Below are 16,367 nucleotides of genomic sequence, written 5' to 3'. Positions count from 1 at the left end.
ACTCAGCATCTCAGTGTATATTTGAACGATGTCACTGGTTCAGTGTTAATCCGTGAACAGTGAGGTGTACATACTGACCTGACATCTGCAATATAGTGTTGTTGTTCAGTGCATAGACTGAAAGGCCTCTCTTAATGGACCTTCTCAGAAAATGAAAGGTCTTCTCCCCACCCCAAATTCCTATTTCCCCGTAGAAGCAGAAACTTTCTATTATTCTCTAAATGGAAGTTTCTCAGCTTCATCAATTTTAAAATCCAGAACCACCTGCAGGTAAACTTTCAGCTGGCAACCTTAAAATAATTGTTTTTCTCCCACCATGTCAAAGTTTGAGATAGAATACTATAAAACCTTTAATAATCATTGCCACAAAAAGGCATATGACTTGAACATATAATTACTTGCTTTGCCTGCAGCCTGTCCAACCTCGAAGGGTCCACTCCATATTCTGCTTGTTCTTGGCTTTCCCTTTCCCCGACATGTGTCTAGACCAGATCTGGACACTTATTCAAAGGCCAGCCATGGACCAATCAAACTGCCTGACTCCAGAATTTAGAATCAGCACCTCTGGGCAATGATAGGAATTTGAGTTGAAATGTACAGTCAAGGATGGAGTAGGTTCTATGTGCAACATCCCACTCAGGATGAAGTTATAGGGAGCAGAAACCACAGGCTGCAGAAAAAGCAGGCTTGTAAGAGAGGAGTACAAAGCAAGAGACTATGTGTCCCCCATAAAGAGATGAGGAGAGAGAAGCTGCCTCCTTTGCTAACGTCACTGACCCTAGTTGTAGACCCAGCTGCTCTCTTGCCTTGGGTGCCAGGACATTCTTCCTTGTAGTAGAGACTTTTATTTTCCTATCCAATACCCATTCTTCCCTTCTTGGTTTTACGCAATGTGATAATATACATAACAAAAAGACTGTATCTCCCACCTCCCTTTATAGCTAGGAAGAGCCACAGCCTAAGTTCTGGCCAAAGAGAAGTAAATGGAAGTTGTTGGGTAGAACTTCCTGGAAGTCTCTTAAAGAGGGGGAAGGAAGCTGAATACACTTTTGGGCCCTCTCTACCCTCCTTCTAACTGCCACCTGGAGGGCAGAGTTGATGGCTAAAGCTCCAATTTAAGGATGGATTCCTTGGCTAAGGATGGCAGAGGAGAAAGATGGAAGGTGGTCTGAATCCCTGATGATAGTCAAACTGCCATACAAACCCAGGACTATATACCTCGCAATTTCTTATAATGAGAAAGAAAACAAACTCTTCATGCCAACTTTGCCTCCTTGAGAGCCAGAGGCAATTGGCGATACAGTGCCCTCACAGAGCCAGAACACATTCGGCAAATGTTCCATGCTAAGCATAAGTTTGCAGCCCATGAGCCAAGACACGGGCCCTCCCTCACTATGCTCAGGGCCTTCCAGGGTCCCATGTCCACAAAAAAAAAAAAAAAAAAAAAGGTGGAAGAGCAGATGCTGACCACTTAGAACAGAGCAGAGTACTTTGTGGAGTGGTTACCCAACAGTATCAAGGTGGCCACGTGGGGTGCCCCTCCTCCATGACTCCAGGTGATTATGTGAGGCGCCTCTTCCTGGGGCTCAAGGTGGTATTCATGCTTATTGACAAGAGCACTATTATGCATAGGTGTTTTAAATGCATCTGAGAACAGTTTTCTGCCATCGTTGCCGGAAGGCCTTCCTTCACTGGTTTACAGGAAAGGGGATGGGGAGGTAAAATTCACAGAAGCTGAAAGTAGCATGAGTGACCTGGTGTTAGAATCCTAGCAATGTGAAGAAGCTACAATTAACGATGGAGGAGAAACTTTAGAAGATGGTAAGGAAAAGATCAAGAGACAACGAAGCCTCTCTGCTTCACATCCTAAAAACCCATAATGTTTTTTTTGTTTTGTTTTGTTTTGTTTTGTTTTTTGAGACAGAGTTTTGCTCTTTTTGCCCAGGCTTCAGTGCAATGGCACGATCTTGGCTCACTGCAACCTCCACCTCCCGGATTCAAGCAATTCTCCTGTCTCAGCCTCCCGAGTAGCTGGGATTACAGGTGCCTGCCGCCACACCCGGCTAATTTTGTATTTTTAGTAGAGATGGGGTTTCACCATGTTGGTCAGGCTAGTCTCGAACTCCTGACCTCAGGTGATCTGCCCACCTTGGCCTCCCAAAGTGCTGGGATTACAGGTGTGAGCCACCATGCCCCACCCGCAAAATGTCTTTTTAACCCTTTATGACTGAAGACTTGCACATCTTCCCACTTAATGGCTGCTGGGTATAATGGCTCACACAGGTCTAAACACGTTATATAGGACTCTCACAGATAGGATAAAATTGTAATAGAAGCCATCTGGGATACAGAAAGTACGTTAAAATAGCAAGGGATTGGCAATCCCACCAAACAGATCAGACAATGAGAATTTTCTACTACAGTTGAGAAAACTGATGTGCCATAAGCCTTGTTTTCCACTAAATGTTCAGCCACAGTCTGAAATGAAGGGTAGTTAGAATAATTAGTAGTTTTTCATCCTTTTTGATGAATTTCTAAAGTTGTATAGTAATAACATGTCTTGAATATGCCATACTGAACATTGAAACAATCTTTTCATAATAAAATGCTAAAAAATGTAAAAAGAAGTTTGTTGAAATAAACTTGGTAGTATCTAGTAAGGTTGAACATAGGCAAACCCTGTAACCCTACAATTTCCTCATAAATATAAACCCTACAGCAGGAGATGGCAAACTTCTGAAAAGGGCCAGTTAGTAAATATTGTCGGCTTTGCAGGTCCTGATTTTTCCATTGCAACTACTCAATTCTGCATAAATAGTGCAAAAACAGCCATCAATGATGTGTAAACAAATTTGAATGACTATATTCCAATAAAGTTTACTTACAAATACAAGTGGTGGGCCAGATTTAGTCAACTGCTACTAGAGAAACTCATGCAGATGTATGCCAAAATATGGGTACAAGAATATTACTGCAGGATCATTTGTAGTAGACCCAAACTGAAAACAACCCAAATGCAAATATCCATCAACAAGACACTACGTAAATAAACCACGGTGTATGTATCCACTGAATATCAAACGGCAAATTGAATGATCCCTATAGTACAAATAACACACTCTTTTAAGAGTCCTTGGGTGACTTTGTTGTTGTTGTTGTTAAGACGGAGTCTTGCTCTTGTCGCCCGGGCTAGAGTGCAATGGCGCGATCTTGGCTCACTGCAACTTCCGCCTCCTGGGTTCAAGCTTCTCCTGCCTCAGCCTCCTGAGTAGCTGGGATTACAGGCGCCCACCACCAAGCCTGGCTAATTTTTGTACTTTTAGTAGAGACGGGGTTTTGCCATGTTGGCCAGGCTGGTCTGGGTGACTCTTAAAAACAAAATGTTGAGCAAAGTAGCCAGACTCAAAAGAGTACATTCTTTATGACATTTGATTTTGTAAACACTAAACAATATTGTCTAGGAAAGCATCTTAGGTGAAAAAACTGTCAAATAAAGCAAACAAGGAATTACAATGAAAGTCAGAAGGCAAGGAACAATGGTGACCATGAAGGGGTTCATAGAAGGCTTTGGGTGTTGGCGATGTCCTATTCCTCAACTTAGGTAATGGTTACGTAGATACTCATTATTTTATATTTTACAGAAATCATACATCTAGGTTTTTAATCCAGTTTTTTTGTGTGTGTGTAAATTTTATAGAAAAATGTGGGGTTCTGTTTAATACTTTCCATCTATAAAGTGCTACACATGACAGATGTTAATATATAATGTCTAGTTCTCCCTGAAAAAAAGGTGCCACTCACGGTTTTTATTTTCTGTGTAAGAGCAGGTGTCTGTCTTGCCCTATGGCTGGGAGCTAAGGTTGACCAGCAATATGAACAAATCAGAAGCATATTAGCCAGCACTTTGTATTCATGTACTTTCACATGCATGTAACATAATTTCTTAGTAGTTCATATGCTTTTATTTTGTAATCTGCAAAATACTAATGTGCACACCCTTCAGAAAAATGTCTGTGCATTGTTCCTGTAAGTGAAATCAGACATCGACTACATGGCATTCTGGAGTAGTTGGGGTCTGCAGCTGTCTTCCCTCTTTTACTCTGAAAAATATTATGAAATTGAGAAGTGCTATCTTTGATAGTGTCTCCTGGGAGCAGAACACGTGATGAACAGACTTCCACCGTGGAAGAGATGGGTGAGGAGGTTAAGTAAATTTTCTTTGTGTAGTTCCCATTAAACTTCAATCAGAGTTACAGAAAGAAATTTCCTCCAGGCGGCTGCGAATACAGGTATTGGTTTGACTTTAATAAAAGTCATAACTGATCTCTCTGAGGTCTCTCGTGGAATGAGCTCAGCAGAATTCAGGCAGGTCCTTGAGAGGAAAAGCGCCCACTTAAACATCGCATTATCCTAATAATCCCATTCCAGAGCTGCCGTCCCATTATTTTAAAGGTCTTCATTTGCAAATTGTGGTATTTGAAAGTTTTCTTTTTACATTATTGCAGAAAGCAGGATGGATCTTTCTGAGGGTCACACACCTATTTACAGACTCTCTCTCCTTCCAGACCAGAGTAAGGCAGCAAGGTAGAGGCTGCTTTGCACCTTCACGTCATTGCTTTAATTAAACCACCCTGTTTAAAGTAACACCTGCTTTGAAGGTAAGACTGCTTTTAATGAGCTTTATTAAGAAAGAAAAAAGAAATTCTGTCATTGCTAAAGAAGAGCCCTGGTCAAGATGGCGATCAGGGTAACATTGTCCCAAGGCATAAAATCTCATCCATTCAGTTTTTATCCAACAAATCTTTTCAGCACACCTGGTGTGCGTTAGGCACTTCTCTAGGCCCTTAAATATAGCAGGTATCAAGATAGAGAAGAAATTTGCAATCCAGTAAGGGAAACACCCAGGGAACAAACAAAAAATTAGTAAGATAATTTCAGATAATGATAAGAAGACAATAAGAAAATAAAAGATTGGATAATAAACTAGGTGATGATTTGGGATGGGGGCACCAATGTAGATGGGGTTGAGGGGAGCCCCTTTGAGAGGATAATAAGTGAGTTGACAACTAATGAATGAGAAGGAGCTATCCATGCAAATATTTCAAGGAAAGGGGGTTCCAGGATGCTGTCGTTTAGATGTTTGTCCCACCAAACCCTATGTTGAAATTTGATCCCTAATGTTGGAGGTAGGGCCCAATAGGAGGTACTTGGGTCATGGAGGTGAATCCCTCATGGATGGCTTGGTGCCCTCCCTGCAGGGGCAGGAGGTGGGGAAGCAAGTGGGTTCTCACTCTATTAGTTCTTGCGAGATGGGTTGTTGAAAAGAGCCTGGCACCTCCTCCTCGGTCTTGTGTCCTCTCTTGCCACGTGATCTGCACACACTGGCTCCCCTTTACCTACTGCCATGAGTGGAAGCAGCCTGGGCCCTCACCAGAAGTAGATGGTGGTGCCATGGTTCTCATACAGCCTGCAGAACCATGAACCAAATAAACAGCTTTTCTTTAAAAAATTACCCAGCATCAGGTATTCCTTTATGGCAACATGAATAGACTAACCCACAGGGAGAGGATACAGCAATGCCAAGTTCTTGAGGGAAGAAATTTTGTAACACCTGAGTGTCCTGTATGAAGAAAGAGGGATACAAGATGCACTTCGAAAGATAGGCAGGGGGTCCTGCCTGGGCCATGGAAAGGCTGTAGATTTTACTATAGGTGCCAAGTCTGTTTTTTTAAATATGTAAATAAACATTTCTTAGGATAACGTCTAGCGTTCTTTCTGGAGTGCAGAGAAACTTGGGTGAGTGTGAGGGAAAATGTAAACTGGCCCTGAATCCTGGCTTTGCCTCTTTGCTTTTGTATGACTTTGCATAAGGTTCCCCAACATCTCCAACCCCATCTGTAAATGGGCATAATAAGTACTTTCCCGAGTAGCGGTGAGTGTTAAATATCTGTGAACAGACTCCGCCTGGTGCTGACGCTTTGTGGGCACTTGATCATTGTCAGCAGAATCTTCCTCTGAATGACCCCATGGGCCTGCTTATCCTCTGGGGAAGCCTGTTTTTCAGTAAAAGATCATTGTTGAAATTGAGATTAGGCCAACAATCATGCATCAAGAAAAATCTGAAGATATTAACAGACCCTGGGCAAGCAGTCTTGGTGTAGCGGAGCAGGCACTCAGTTCTGGTTCCGACTCTGCTAATCACTAACCAAATGATCTCAGGGAACCTGGCCTGCGTTTCCAAATCTGAAAAACGGGAGTAATCATCATAATTCTGGCCCTGGTTCATCCCAAGAGTTATGAGGGTTTCAAACAAAATAATGTGTGTAACCATGAGGGCTTTTTGCACAGATGAAATGTTAGCCTCACAAGCTCCTTTTGCTAATGCTTCACTCTGTTCAGAGAGGTCAAACTTCTAAGACCCCTGAATAAGTCTCGAGGCAACACTAAGAGTTGAGGGAGGAAGCAGGTGATTATTTTAGGCTTTACCCTGGTCTTGTTCTATACTGGAATGAAATATTCACTTACAAATTTTCTTGGGATGTTCTGTAATTTACAGTAGTCCCCCCCTTATCCACGGGGGCACATTCCAAGACCCCCAGTGGATCCTGAAACCACAGATTGAATTGGACTCCTAGATATGCTATGTGCTTTCCTATACATACATACCTATGATAAAGTCGAATTTATAAATCAGGCACAGTAAGAGATTACAACAACAACTAATAATAAAATAGAACAATGATAGCAATATACTATAATAAAAGGTATATCTCTCTTCTCTCTCAAAATATCTTATTGTACTGTATTCACCTATTTTCAGACTGTGATTGACCATGGGTAACTGAAATCACAGAGTGAAACCACAGGTAAGGGGGACTACTATATACTCTTTTTTTTTTTTTTTTTTTTTTTTGAGACAGAGTCTCACTGTCACCCAGGCTGGAGTGCAGAGGCATGATCTTGCCTCACCGCAACCTCCACCTCCCAGGTTCAAGTGATTCTCATGCCTCAGCCTCCCAAGCAGCTGGAATTACAGGCACACACCGCCACACTCGGCTAATTTTGGTATTTTTAGTAGAGACAGGGTTTCACCATGTTGGCCAGGCTGGTCTCGAACTCCTGGCCTCAAATGATCCACCCACCTTGGCCTCCCAAAGTGCTGGGATTACAGGCGTAAGCCACCGTGCCCTGCCTGTATACTCTTTATCAGATTTAAAATGACTTTAGTTTGATTCTTCCATCATATGTCCTCTCTTTTTGGAGGGTAAGAGATGCCATCCCGATGGGTATTCATTCTAATCCCTCTTTCCCCCATCCACCTTCCCCGCTCTTTCTCCTTTCTGCAGAGCAGAGCCCACAAACCAGTGTGCACTCTGGGCCATCCAGGAGTCTCATCAGGGTTATGATAATCACACCATCAGTAACACTGGTCAGCCCAGTTGACAATGCATGTGTCAGTGCTGTGGGCATTCCAGTTTCTTTGCCTGATTAGAAGGGGTCCCCTTCAGGGCATAGAAATTTCAGCTTCTCTTCACTTCTGACTTTTGCCTGAACAAAGGGACACAGACAAAGGAGGCATGGCTGGGGCTAGAAAGGGGTGAGGGGCCACTGGGAGTGCACCCGGGAGAGCTCAGCCTTGGACAGAAGGAGTGGAGGGAGGTCCCGGTGACAAGGCTGGAAAATGGAGAAAGTCGGAACAGCTCCAATACTGCATCATCAGATAAATCTACCTCTGCACCTAAACAGAGATGGTGACCTAAAGAGACAAACAGCTGGGCCATGGATACGTGGGTACAACAGGAGGAGAGAAGGCATGTCAATATAGAATCAACTGGGTTTTTGTTGTGTGTGTGTGTGTGTGTGTGTGTGTGTGTGTGTGTGTTTTCCATCTCTTGCTGGCTTGGATGCAGGTCTGTTTCCAGTTCTGGAAATGAAGATAATGGCCCAGGGTGGGCAGAATTATAGAGAGGGCTGGGGTTTCTCCACAAGGGAATCCTGAAAACACACATTCTCCTATTCAATTGCTAGGACAGTCCTACGTAGTAGGGTAGAATTGATCATTATTCTCAGTAACAGGGGAGAAAACTGAATCCAAAGTGATTAAGGACTCATCCTTTGAGATACCGTTTATGAAAGGTTAGGCCTATACTTAAGTGGGCTGGCTCCAGTCTTGTGCCTCCTGGCCAGCCAGGACTACAGGAGTCCCTCATGCCACCCACAATGCCAGCCCCACCTCCACCTCCATCACCTACACCTCAGAAGCACAAATGAGAGTCCAGACTCCCAGGAATGATGCTGACTCTGCTCACTAACTGGAAGGAGAAGAAGTGGACCTATTGCTCCCACCTATTTAAAGGAACAATTTGTACTGATTAAGAAAGGCATTTGTTCAAGTCTGCAAATCCTTTTAAGAACTAGGATCCACTTCTGTGCTGAAAAGGCTTGTGCTCAGAGCTTCTAACTGATGATAATTACTAGTCAGTTATTCTTTTGTGAAGCCCATGGGCCCAGCAGAGCACCTTGAGTGGGTGGTGCCTGCAGGCCCAACTGTGCTGGCTGGCTCCTCTAGCATCTTGCATTAGGAACTGAAAGCCAACCAGCTGGGCTCCCAGAGGGACCAGCAACAGGTCCCAATCTGATCTGAAGCCCACTTTTTTTATTTTTTTGCCAGATAAAATACAGGTGTGCCAGATGGGACACACTTGACTAAAAAAGTTACATGTCATTTATCTGAAATTTAAATTAAATTAAACTTTCACTGGGCATTCTACATTTTAACTTGCTAAATCTGGCAGCCTTATGCACCACTGACTCCATTCCCACGAGCCTGCCTCCTGTCCTTCAGTTGTGAATGACTCCTTGAGTAAGAATGCCTTTTCTCCTCTGGACTTCCCATGGTTTGGAGGCCCCAGAATCTGTGGGGATTGGAGGAGCATAAATATAGATTGATGCCTTCTATCTGCCAGGCTGAGTACTTTACATATTCTAACTCATTTTAATCTTCACCACAACCCTCTGAAGTATGTATTCTTAGCCCATATCACAAATGAGGAAATCGAGCATCAGAGAATTTTCCTAACTTTCTCAAATTTGCTCCCTCATAAGTGGTAGGACCAAGATTTTAATCCACGTGTATGGATTCAGGGAGGGAGTGAATGCAACTCTGTGATGTCACCTCTCTAACCTCCATTTCCCGTATGAAATGGGAGCTGATCACAATGATACCAGCTTTACAGGATTAAAAGTGATGCTGTACTTATGTAATCACCCCAGAGCCTGGCACATGGTTGGTACATGAGGATGGCTTTTAGGCTTTCACTTTCCATGTTTGGTAGATCCAAAGCCATCTAGTGCCCATGGCAAGAGAGTGTAGCCTAGAAGATTCCCTTTGGCAGAAACAGCAGCTTTAGGGATGTGACAGAAGACCAAGAAATCCTTGCAGTTCTGCCCGAGTTCTGGGGCCCCTGATGATTCTGTCTCTAAATGCCAGCTGGGTTATCTATAAAATGAGGGATAATTGTGCTCAAAACCTCAGTATGTAAAGTGATGGGTTAATGGTTCCAAGGGGCTTTTGAGGTCCCAAATCTATGAGTAGTCCAAGACCAATGTGCATGTTCTCATCGGCCCTTGGGCATCTCCCAAGCTGTGTGTGCCTCATTGGAGGTCCTGGGCAATCACATCTTGTCCTGATGGGGAGGATGATATTCTTCAGCCTCCCATACAGGTGGTCCTGAACACTGCCCTTGAAACCACCTTTGCAAAATTGTAACAGTGAGAGAAATTTAATACAGCTGACTCCATCTTGCTTCTAACCTTACATGCTAACTTGCCTTTGCTCATCTCTGCAGGTAGACCAGGCTAACTATGGGAGGAATTTGGTTTGTAATTTAAATTTAAAGAAAGGATGCTAATAGTTCCTTCCCAAAAATAACTACCTCTTTATTCAGGGGCCAAAATCACCTTTATAAAACTAATGAAAAGCCACAAGCTTAGAATTATGATAGGGATCTGAATTTTGCTAACATGTAGGCATAGTTAAATAAAAACTAGTCATTGTTTTCTAACTTGCCTGTCTGTAATTGCATACTACTCAGGAGTCACTACCCAGTGGTCATAAGATTTGTAACTTCCTCAACTGCCCCTATAAATAGCATTGTGAAACCTAAGACGGGTCTTTGAGATATTTTTCAGACTTTGCATTCCAGTGGACCAACTGATGCCACCCAGACCAGTGACCCCCACCCAGGAACTGACTCAGTGCACAAAGACAGTTTTGGTACACTTATGATTTCATCCCCAGCCCAGCCAATCAGTAGAACCTATTCCCTAGCCCCCTTCCCACCAAACAATCCTTAAAAGCCCTAGTCTCCAAATTCTCAGGAGGGGAATTTGAGAAATAGCTCATGTTCTCCTTGCTCAGCCACTTTGTGATTATTAAACTGTCTGCTGCAACACCTGCTGTCTCAGTGTATTGGCTTTTTCTGTGCAGTGGGAAAGAAGAACTTGAATGGGTTGTAACACCCTCTCCCTACCCGAATGTAGCCCCTCCCACCTCTGCTATGATCTGTTGCCCAATTGGACTTCCTTTCAGAACCTACACCAACTCTTTCTGGATAAGTCATGGCCCCTGTCTTGGGGATGGGTCAAGTTCTAGGTCCCAATGCCCCTTTTCAGCCCGTTGGCCTTGGCCATGCTACTTGGGGGTCCCAAAATAACCAGGTAAACAAGTGGAAAGAGTTCCAAGAACTAGTGTCCTCAAATGTCTTCCTAAGCCTTCTGTAGAAACCCATGGAATGTGTGGCTTGAGAATAGTGGTTGAAAAAAACCTCTGTGCCTAAGATGCATGTCTCAGAGGGCTTCCAATTGCTGTTACTGCAGTAACTAAGCATCTGGTTGCTGAAGAAATGACAGAGAACAGGAGAAATAAAGCCCATTTCCCAGGTCTCCCTGAATGGTTAGCAAGGTCAAAATACAAATAAATAGTGTGGAACGAGGTACATAGGCAGGTTAGATGGTAGGCCCTAAGCAAATAGGGTGCTTTCTTAGCACAAGTGTCCAGAGGAAGCTTAAACTCTGAGACACAGTGCCCATGACTGTCTTGGTCATTGTTGTATTCCTCATGCCAAGATCAGTGTCTTGCACATGGTAGGTCCTCAGTAAATATTAGGTTGGTGCAAAAGTAATTGTGGTTTTGCCATTGAAAGTAATGACTCATTTAGTCATGAGTGGATGGATGGTTGGCTGGATGGATGGATGGATGGGTGGATGACATCTGACATTCAGTTACAAGGCAGCGGTTTAGCAGAAAATGTCAGGATGACATTCTTGAAGAAAGTAAAGAGCAGCAAGTATGGGGCAAAGGTGAGTAGACCATTTGGGTCACCTTGTGCCATCCTGGAGGGGAAGATTATAGGTGGAGAGACTTTAGTCTTCGATCAGAGCCGCAAAACAGAGACAGAGTATGCCTGTGTTGCCAAGCTCTCAGGTAACATCTAGACACACCCTCTAGTCTCTTCCATTTTACAAGGCCAAAACCCCTGGTGCATTCTTGGCTCCTTTCTTCTCTCATATCCTACATCCAATGTATCATTAAACCCTGCTGGCTGTATCTTAAACGTATATCCTGAATGCAGTTACTTCTCACCGTCTGTACAATTTCCATCTTGATTGAAGTTACTAGGCCTCTTATCTACACAGATAGTTTTAACAGCTTGAAGACTAAACTCCAATCTTCTTTCTCTCTTGCCCAAATTCATATCTAAAGGGCCTGGAGACTCTCGTCCTACAAACCATAAAATTTCATCAGATTGGTTTTATTAACTCTACATAACATGGCTTACTTTCCACCCTGAGTCTGGCATAACATCACATGACAGATAAAGAAATCAGAATATTTTACCCCAAAATAGGTTTCTTTGCTGTATTTTGAAATGACCCTGCAAAGCTATCTTTTGTGGGGAAAATTTTGCATCTGTAAAGAATCTCTACTAGCAAAACTAGATCTTTCCCCTGCCAATCCTGAAGGGATTAACTGAGAGTCTAGCACCTTTCAAAATAGGAATCTTTGCCATCTGTTGTCTCTAAGGGTGGCCACCTGAGAGACTTCATCTATATAATAAGAACCTTGGTTTCCACAACCCCTTATCTTTACCCAGACACTCCTTTCTATTGATCCCAGATTTTTAGATAATAACTCTTTCACCCAATTGCCAATAAGAAAATCTTTGAATGCACCTATGACCGTAAGCCTCCCCTCCATCTTTCTGGACCGGACCAACATATATCTTACACATATTAATTGATATTTTATGACTCCCTAAAGTGTGTAAAACCAAGCTGTAACCCAACCACCTTAGGCACATCTTCTCAGGACCTCTTGAGGCTGTGTCATCGGTCATGGTTCTCAGATTTGGCTCAGAATAAATCTCTCCAAATATTTTACAGAGTTTGGCTTTTTCATCCACAAGCTCCTGTCTCCCTGCTTCTACACTAGCTCCTGACACTGACTCTCCATAGAGAAGCCATTGTATTCTTTAAGAAAGTCAGGTCAGATTATACCCCTTCTTTGCTCTGAATCCTCCAAAGCTTCCCACTCCCATCTCACTCAGAATCAAAAAAGTCTTTGCAGTGGCCAGTAAAGCCCCACACAACCTCGCTCCCACTCTCCTGCTGACTGATTTGCCCCTCGTTCACTGCTTTCCTGCTACTCTGGTCTGCTCTAGCCTGATCACTGTTCCTCAGACACACTGGTGTGTTTCTCATCTCAGGGCTTCTGCGCTTGCTCTTCCACCTGCCTGGCCATTTCTAGATGGGCCTTGTCCGGCTTTGAGGTCAGCTAGAGGTGAGTGTTACACTCGGTGCTTCTGCTTTGCCATAAGGAAATTTATGATTCCAGCTAACTGGTCTCCTGCACACTAAATCAGTTATTCTGCTGGCCAGGACTACCTAGAGCTTGGTCAGGTCCTTACCAGAAAAAAATAACCAGTAAGTCAGTGACTCGGCCCCTGGAGTAAGGAATTTGAGAACAAGGTATGTATGGTTGTGCTGGTTGTACACTACACAAGGGCACAAGTCAAGGTGGCCAACAGGGGCTGGAATACAGCTGGAGTGCTGCTTGCCAAGCTTGCCAAATAGTAGGACACTGTGCAGGGTTGCATCCTCCCAGAGGAAGTGTGCCATCTTCTAATTCACACAGAGGTACTGTATGAGCCACAGTGAACCTGCCCAGAAGCTGACCTGGCTATAGTGGGTAGCTGGATGGTAAGCAGTTGGCATTCAAGTGAGGAACACCAAAGGCAGGTGCTGCAGCCTTGGTTCTGGTCCCGGAAACAGTGGGTACTGGATGGGCCTGTCCATGGGAAACCAGCAACAGGCAGATGCTAGGCAGCTAGCTGGGTGGTGGGAAAGCCCTCTCTCTCTCTCTGCCCTTCCAACTACATAATGTGAGTTCCAACTAGGCCAGGGATAGAAGCAGCCTAAAACTCGCTCAGAATTTAATAAAAGCTGCAGAATCTCTTACAGAAAAGAACATACACACATCCTAAATTTTGCACACAATTTCTAGGGACCCATACCACTCACCTACTCACCCTCTACCTGTGGCTATTCAGTCAAATACCCCTGTTAATCCAGGTGTCTGTAAGAGTCCTCCTAAAGAGGGTGTGGCAGCTCACACCTGTAATCCCAGCACTTTGGGAGGCTGAGGTGGGAGGATGGTTTGAGCCCAGGAGTTTGAGACCAGCCTGGGCAACATAGGAAGATCCTGTCTCTACAAAAATGAAAAAAATTTAGCTGGGTGTGGTGGCACATGCCTGTGGTCCCAGCTATTTGGGAGGCTGAAGTGGAAGGATTGCTTGAGCAGGAAGTCAAGCCTGCAGTGAGCTATGATCATACCACTGCACTCCAGCCTTGGCAATGGAGCAAGACCCTGTCACAAAAAAAAAAAAAAAAAAAAAAAAAGTCCTCCTAGCTCAGATGCAAAATCTAAGCAGCACATCTAAACACTCTAAGGAAGCACCTGCTCAGTGGCAGCTGTGCTGAGAGTTGGGGCTGCAGGGCAGGATGGAGATTTTTGAAAACCGTCTGAGAGGGCAGACCCCAGAGCAGAACCCTCCTTGACCCAAAGGACCAGGGACTTCAGGAGGAACTTTCTCTTCCCCTCTCTTCCTCCCAAACCCAGAAACCCTGTTCGGTTTCTTTTCCTTCTTAAGGGAACAGGCAGAGCCCTGGCCGCCTCCTCCACAGCACAGACAGCCCCATCACCAAAGGGCCCAGACAATTAATTACCCACCATCATGGCGCCGTTTCGCCTTCAATTTTCCTGACTACCACAGGAGTAACTCAATCTGTGAGACTTCACTGGGCCATTTAAGGGAGCATCATAACTCTTTCTGTTCCCCAGAAATTGTAACCCGGACTCGGTTTTGTAATGCTAATTGCCTTATCTTCATAAATTCTACAGTCTTACATAATTTGCCCGCATTGTAGCAGGATTTCCCAAGAATAAAAAAGCAGGTGCCGTCAATGGTAATTTGAATAAGAAAAGACATGTTAAGTGGTTCTTCTCTCACTAGTAATAGAAATTAATTAGCTTTGAGCGGCTTTGGAGGTTTTTGCATTTTTTGCTGTAACCTGTTATGTTTTCTAATTGTATGGAAAGAAGGTTTGATTTGATCACATTATTTGGTGACGGAGAGGCCTCTGTTTGGAGTCAAAGGTACAGGAACGGTGGCAGCCTCAAGTGTGGGAAGCCACCAGAGGCTTGTAGAGAGTGTGGGCTTTGCAGTCGGATAAACATGAATTCTGAGCCAGGGTAAGCCACTTGCTAACTCTGTGAGCCTGGACAAATCACTTCTCCCATTTAAACTTAAGCTTTCTCATCTGTAAGAAAGAGGTCACAAACTCTAACTGGAAGGGAGGGAGCCCAGCGCTGAGCAGTTAAGAGCATTGGCTCAGGATCTGCAAGTTTCTGCCTTCAGATCCGGAGCCCATCGATGACTTGCTCTCTGACTTTTCCAATTGGGGTGCCTTTGATTTCAAGAAACATGAAATACTATTTAAACTGGCTTAAGCTCTCCAAAAATTTATTATTTCCTATGAGAACACTAGGGCTAGTGCAGGCTGCAGGGGTGGTACAATTAATTGATGGGTTAATGTCATCAAAGATATAGGTCTACTTTCTCTCTTCACTCTGCCATACCCAACACTGGCTTTATCCTAAAGTAGGCTCTCCCCTCCCCTGGCAAGAAAGGAATACAATCTTCCTGGTTGACATCTAGCAGAAGAGGGAGTGAGTGTCTCCCACTAACGTGAGTTACAAATCCTTCCCTTCAGTCTGACTGAGCCAATTATTTTGCCAGTCCACCCCTGGAGCAATAATTGATTCCAGGAGAAGGCCACACATGGATTGTTAGACTAATCAGAAGCTACATCCATAGAGCTGGGATGGGGTCTGCTTCCCTGTGACTCATGTCGGGGAGTAATTCTATTAGGAAGGAAGAAGTGGAGGTCGGACGTGTTGGCTCACGCCTGTAATCCCAACACTTTGGGAGGCTGAGGTGGCTGGATCATCTGAGGTCAGGAGTTCAAGACCAGCCTGACCAACATGGTGAAACCCCGTCTTTACTAAAAATACAAAAAATAGCCAGGTGTGGTGGTGGGCTCCTATAATCCCAGCTACTCGAGGGGCTAAGGCAGGAGAATCGCTTCAACCTGGGAGGTGGAGGTTGCAGTGAACTGAGATTGCGCCACTGCACTTCAGCCTGGGCAACAGAGTGAGACTCCTTCTCAAAAAAAAAGGAAGGAAGAAGTGGGGATGTGGATGAGGAATAGGCAACTAGTGGTATCCCCGCTGTAGTAGGTACAGTACACAGTGCAGACATGCTGCATACTAGACACGTAGCAATAACTACCTTGGGCAAGTTACTTATTTCCATTAAGCTCTGTTTCCTTCTCTGTATAACAAGGACAATAAAAGCACCACCTCCTAAGGTGGCGTGAGGGTTTCATAACACAGATCTGAAGCACACTGGGCCTTCCATGTGCTCTAGTTTTTTCCTTCTGCTTTGTTTTCCCTCTTTCCTTGAAAGAAATCCTCTAGCAAGTTGTTCAAAGCAACTCTCGCATTTTGGAAGGACAAAGGAGGAAGAAATGACAGGAGAAATTTCCTTGAGTATGTTCTTCAAAGTAGCACCTTTTCAACCACAAGAAAATAATGATTAAGGGAAAGTATTGCCAAAGATAGAATTGAGGGAGTATGACTATGATAAAAAAAAGAAGCATTATGAAAGCAAGACCATAAAACATGTGGAGAAGATAGTCAAAGGTTGATACTCTTTACACACTTGCACCAACCAACACCACACTGC

General features: G+C 44.0%; 1 long non-coding RNA gene and 1 pseudogene across 1 annotated transcript in view, besides 1 other annotated feature; both read left to right on the top strand.

Moving 5' to 3' along the window:
- LOC105378657 (uncharacterized) overlaps positions 1–16,367 on the top strand; it is a 203,343-nt gene that overhangs the window by 117,859 nt on the left and 69,117 nt on the right. The window lies entirely within an intron of this gene.
- On the top strand, positions 1,252–1,835 carry TUBB6P1 (tubulin beta 6 class V pseudogene 1; annotated as a pseudogene).
- Positions 13,248–15,358: an enhancer, noted in NCBI's record as "VISTA enhancer hs1546". NCBI's record gives its function as "enhancer in: forebrain[4/5]" and the evidence as "EXISTENCE:transgenic organism evidence [ECO:0001131][PMID:17130149]".

Source organism: Homo sapiens, chromosome 1 (assembly GCF_000001405.40).
Source record: "Homo sapiens chromosome 1, GRCh38.p14 Primary Assembly".
Classification (NCBI taxonomy): Eukaryota; Metazoa; Chordata; class Mammalia; order Primates; family Hominidae; genus Homo; species Homo sapiens.
The sequence above is the reverse complement of the archived record's forward strand: the minus strand, read 5'-3'. Positions and strand labels throughout refer to the sequence as shown.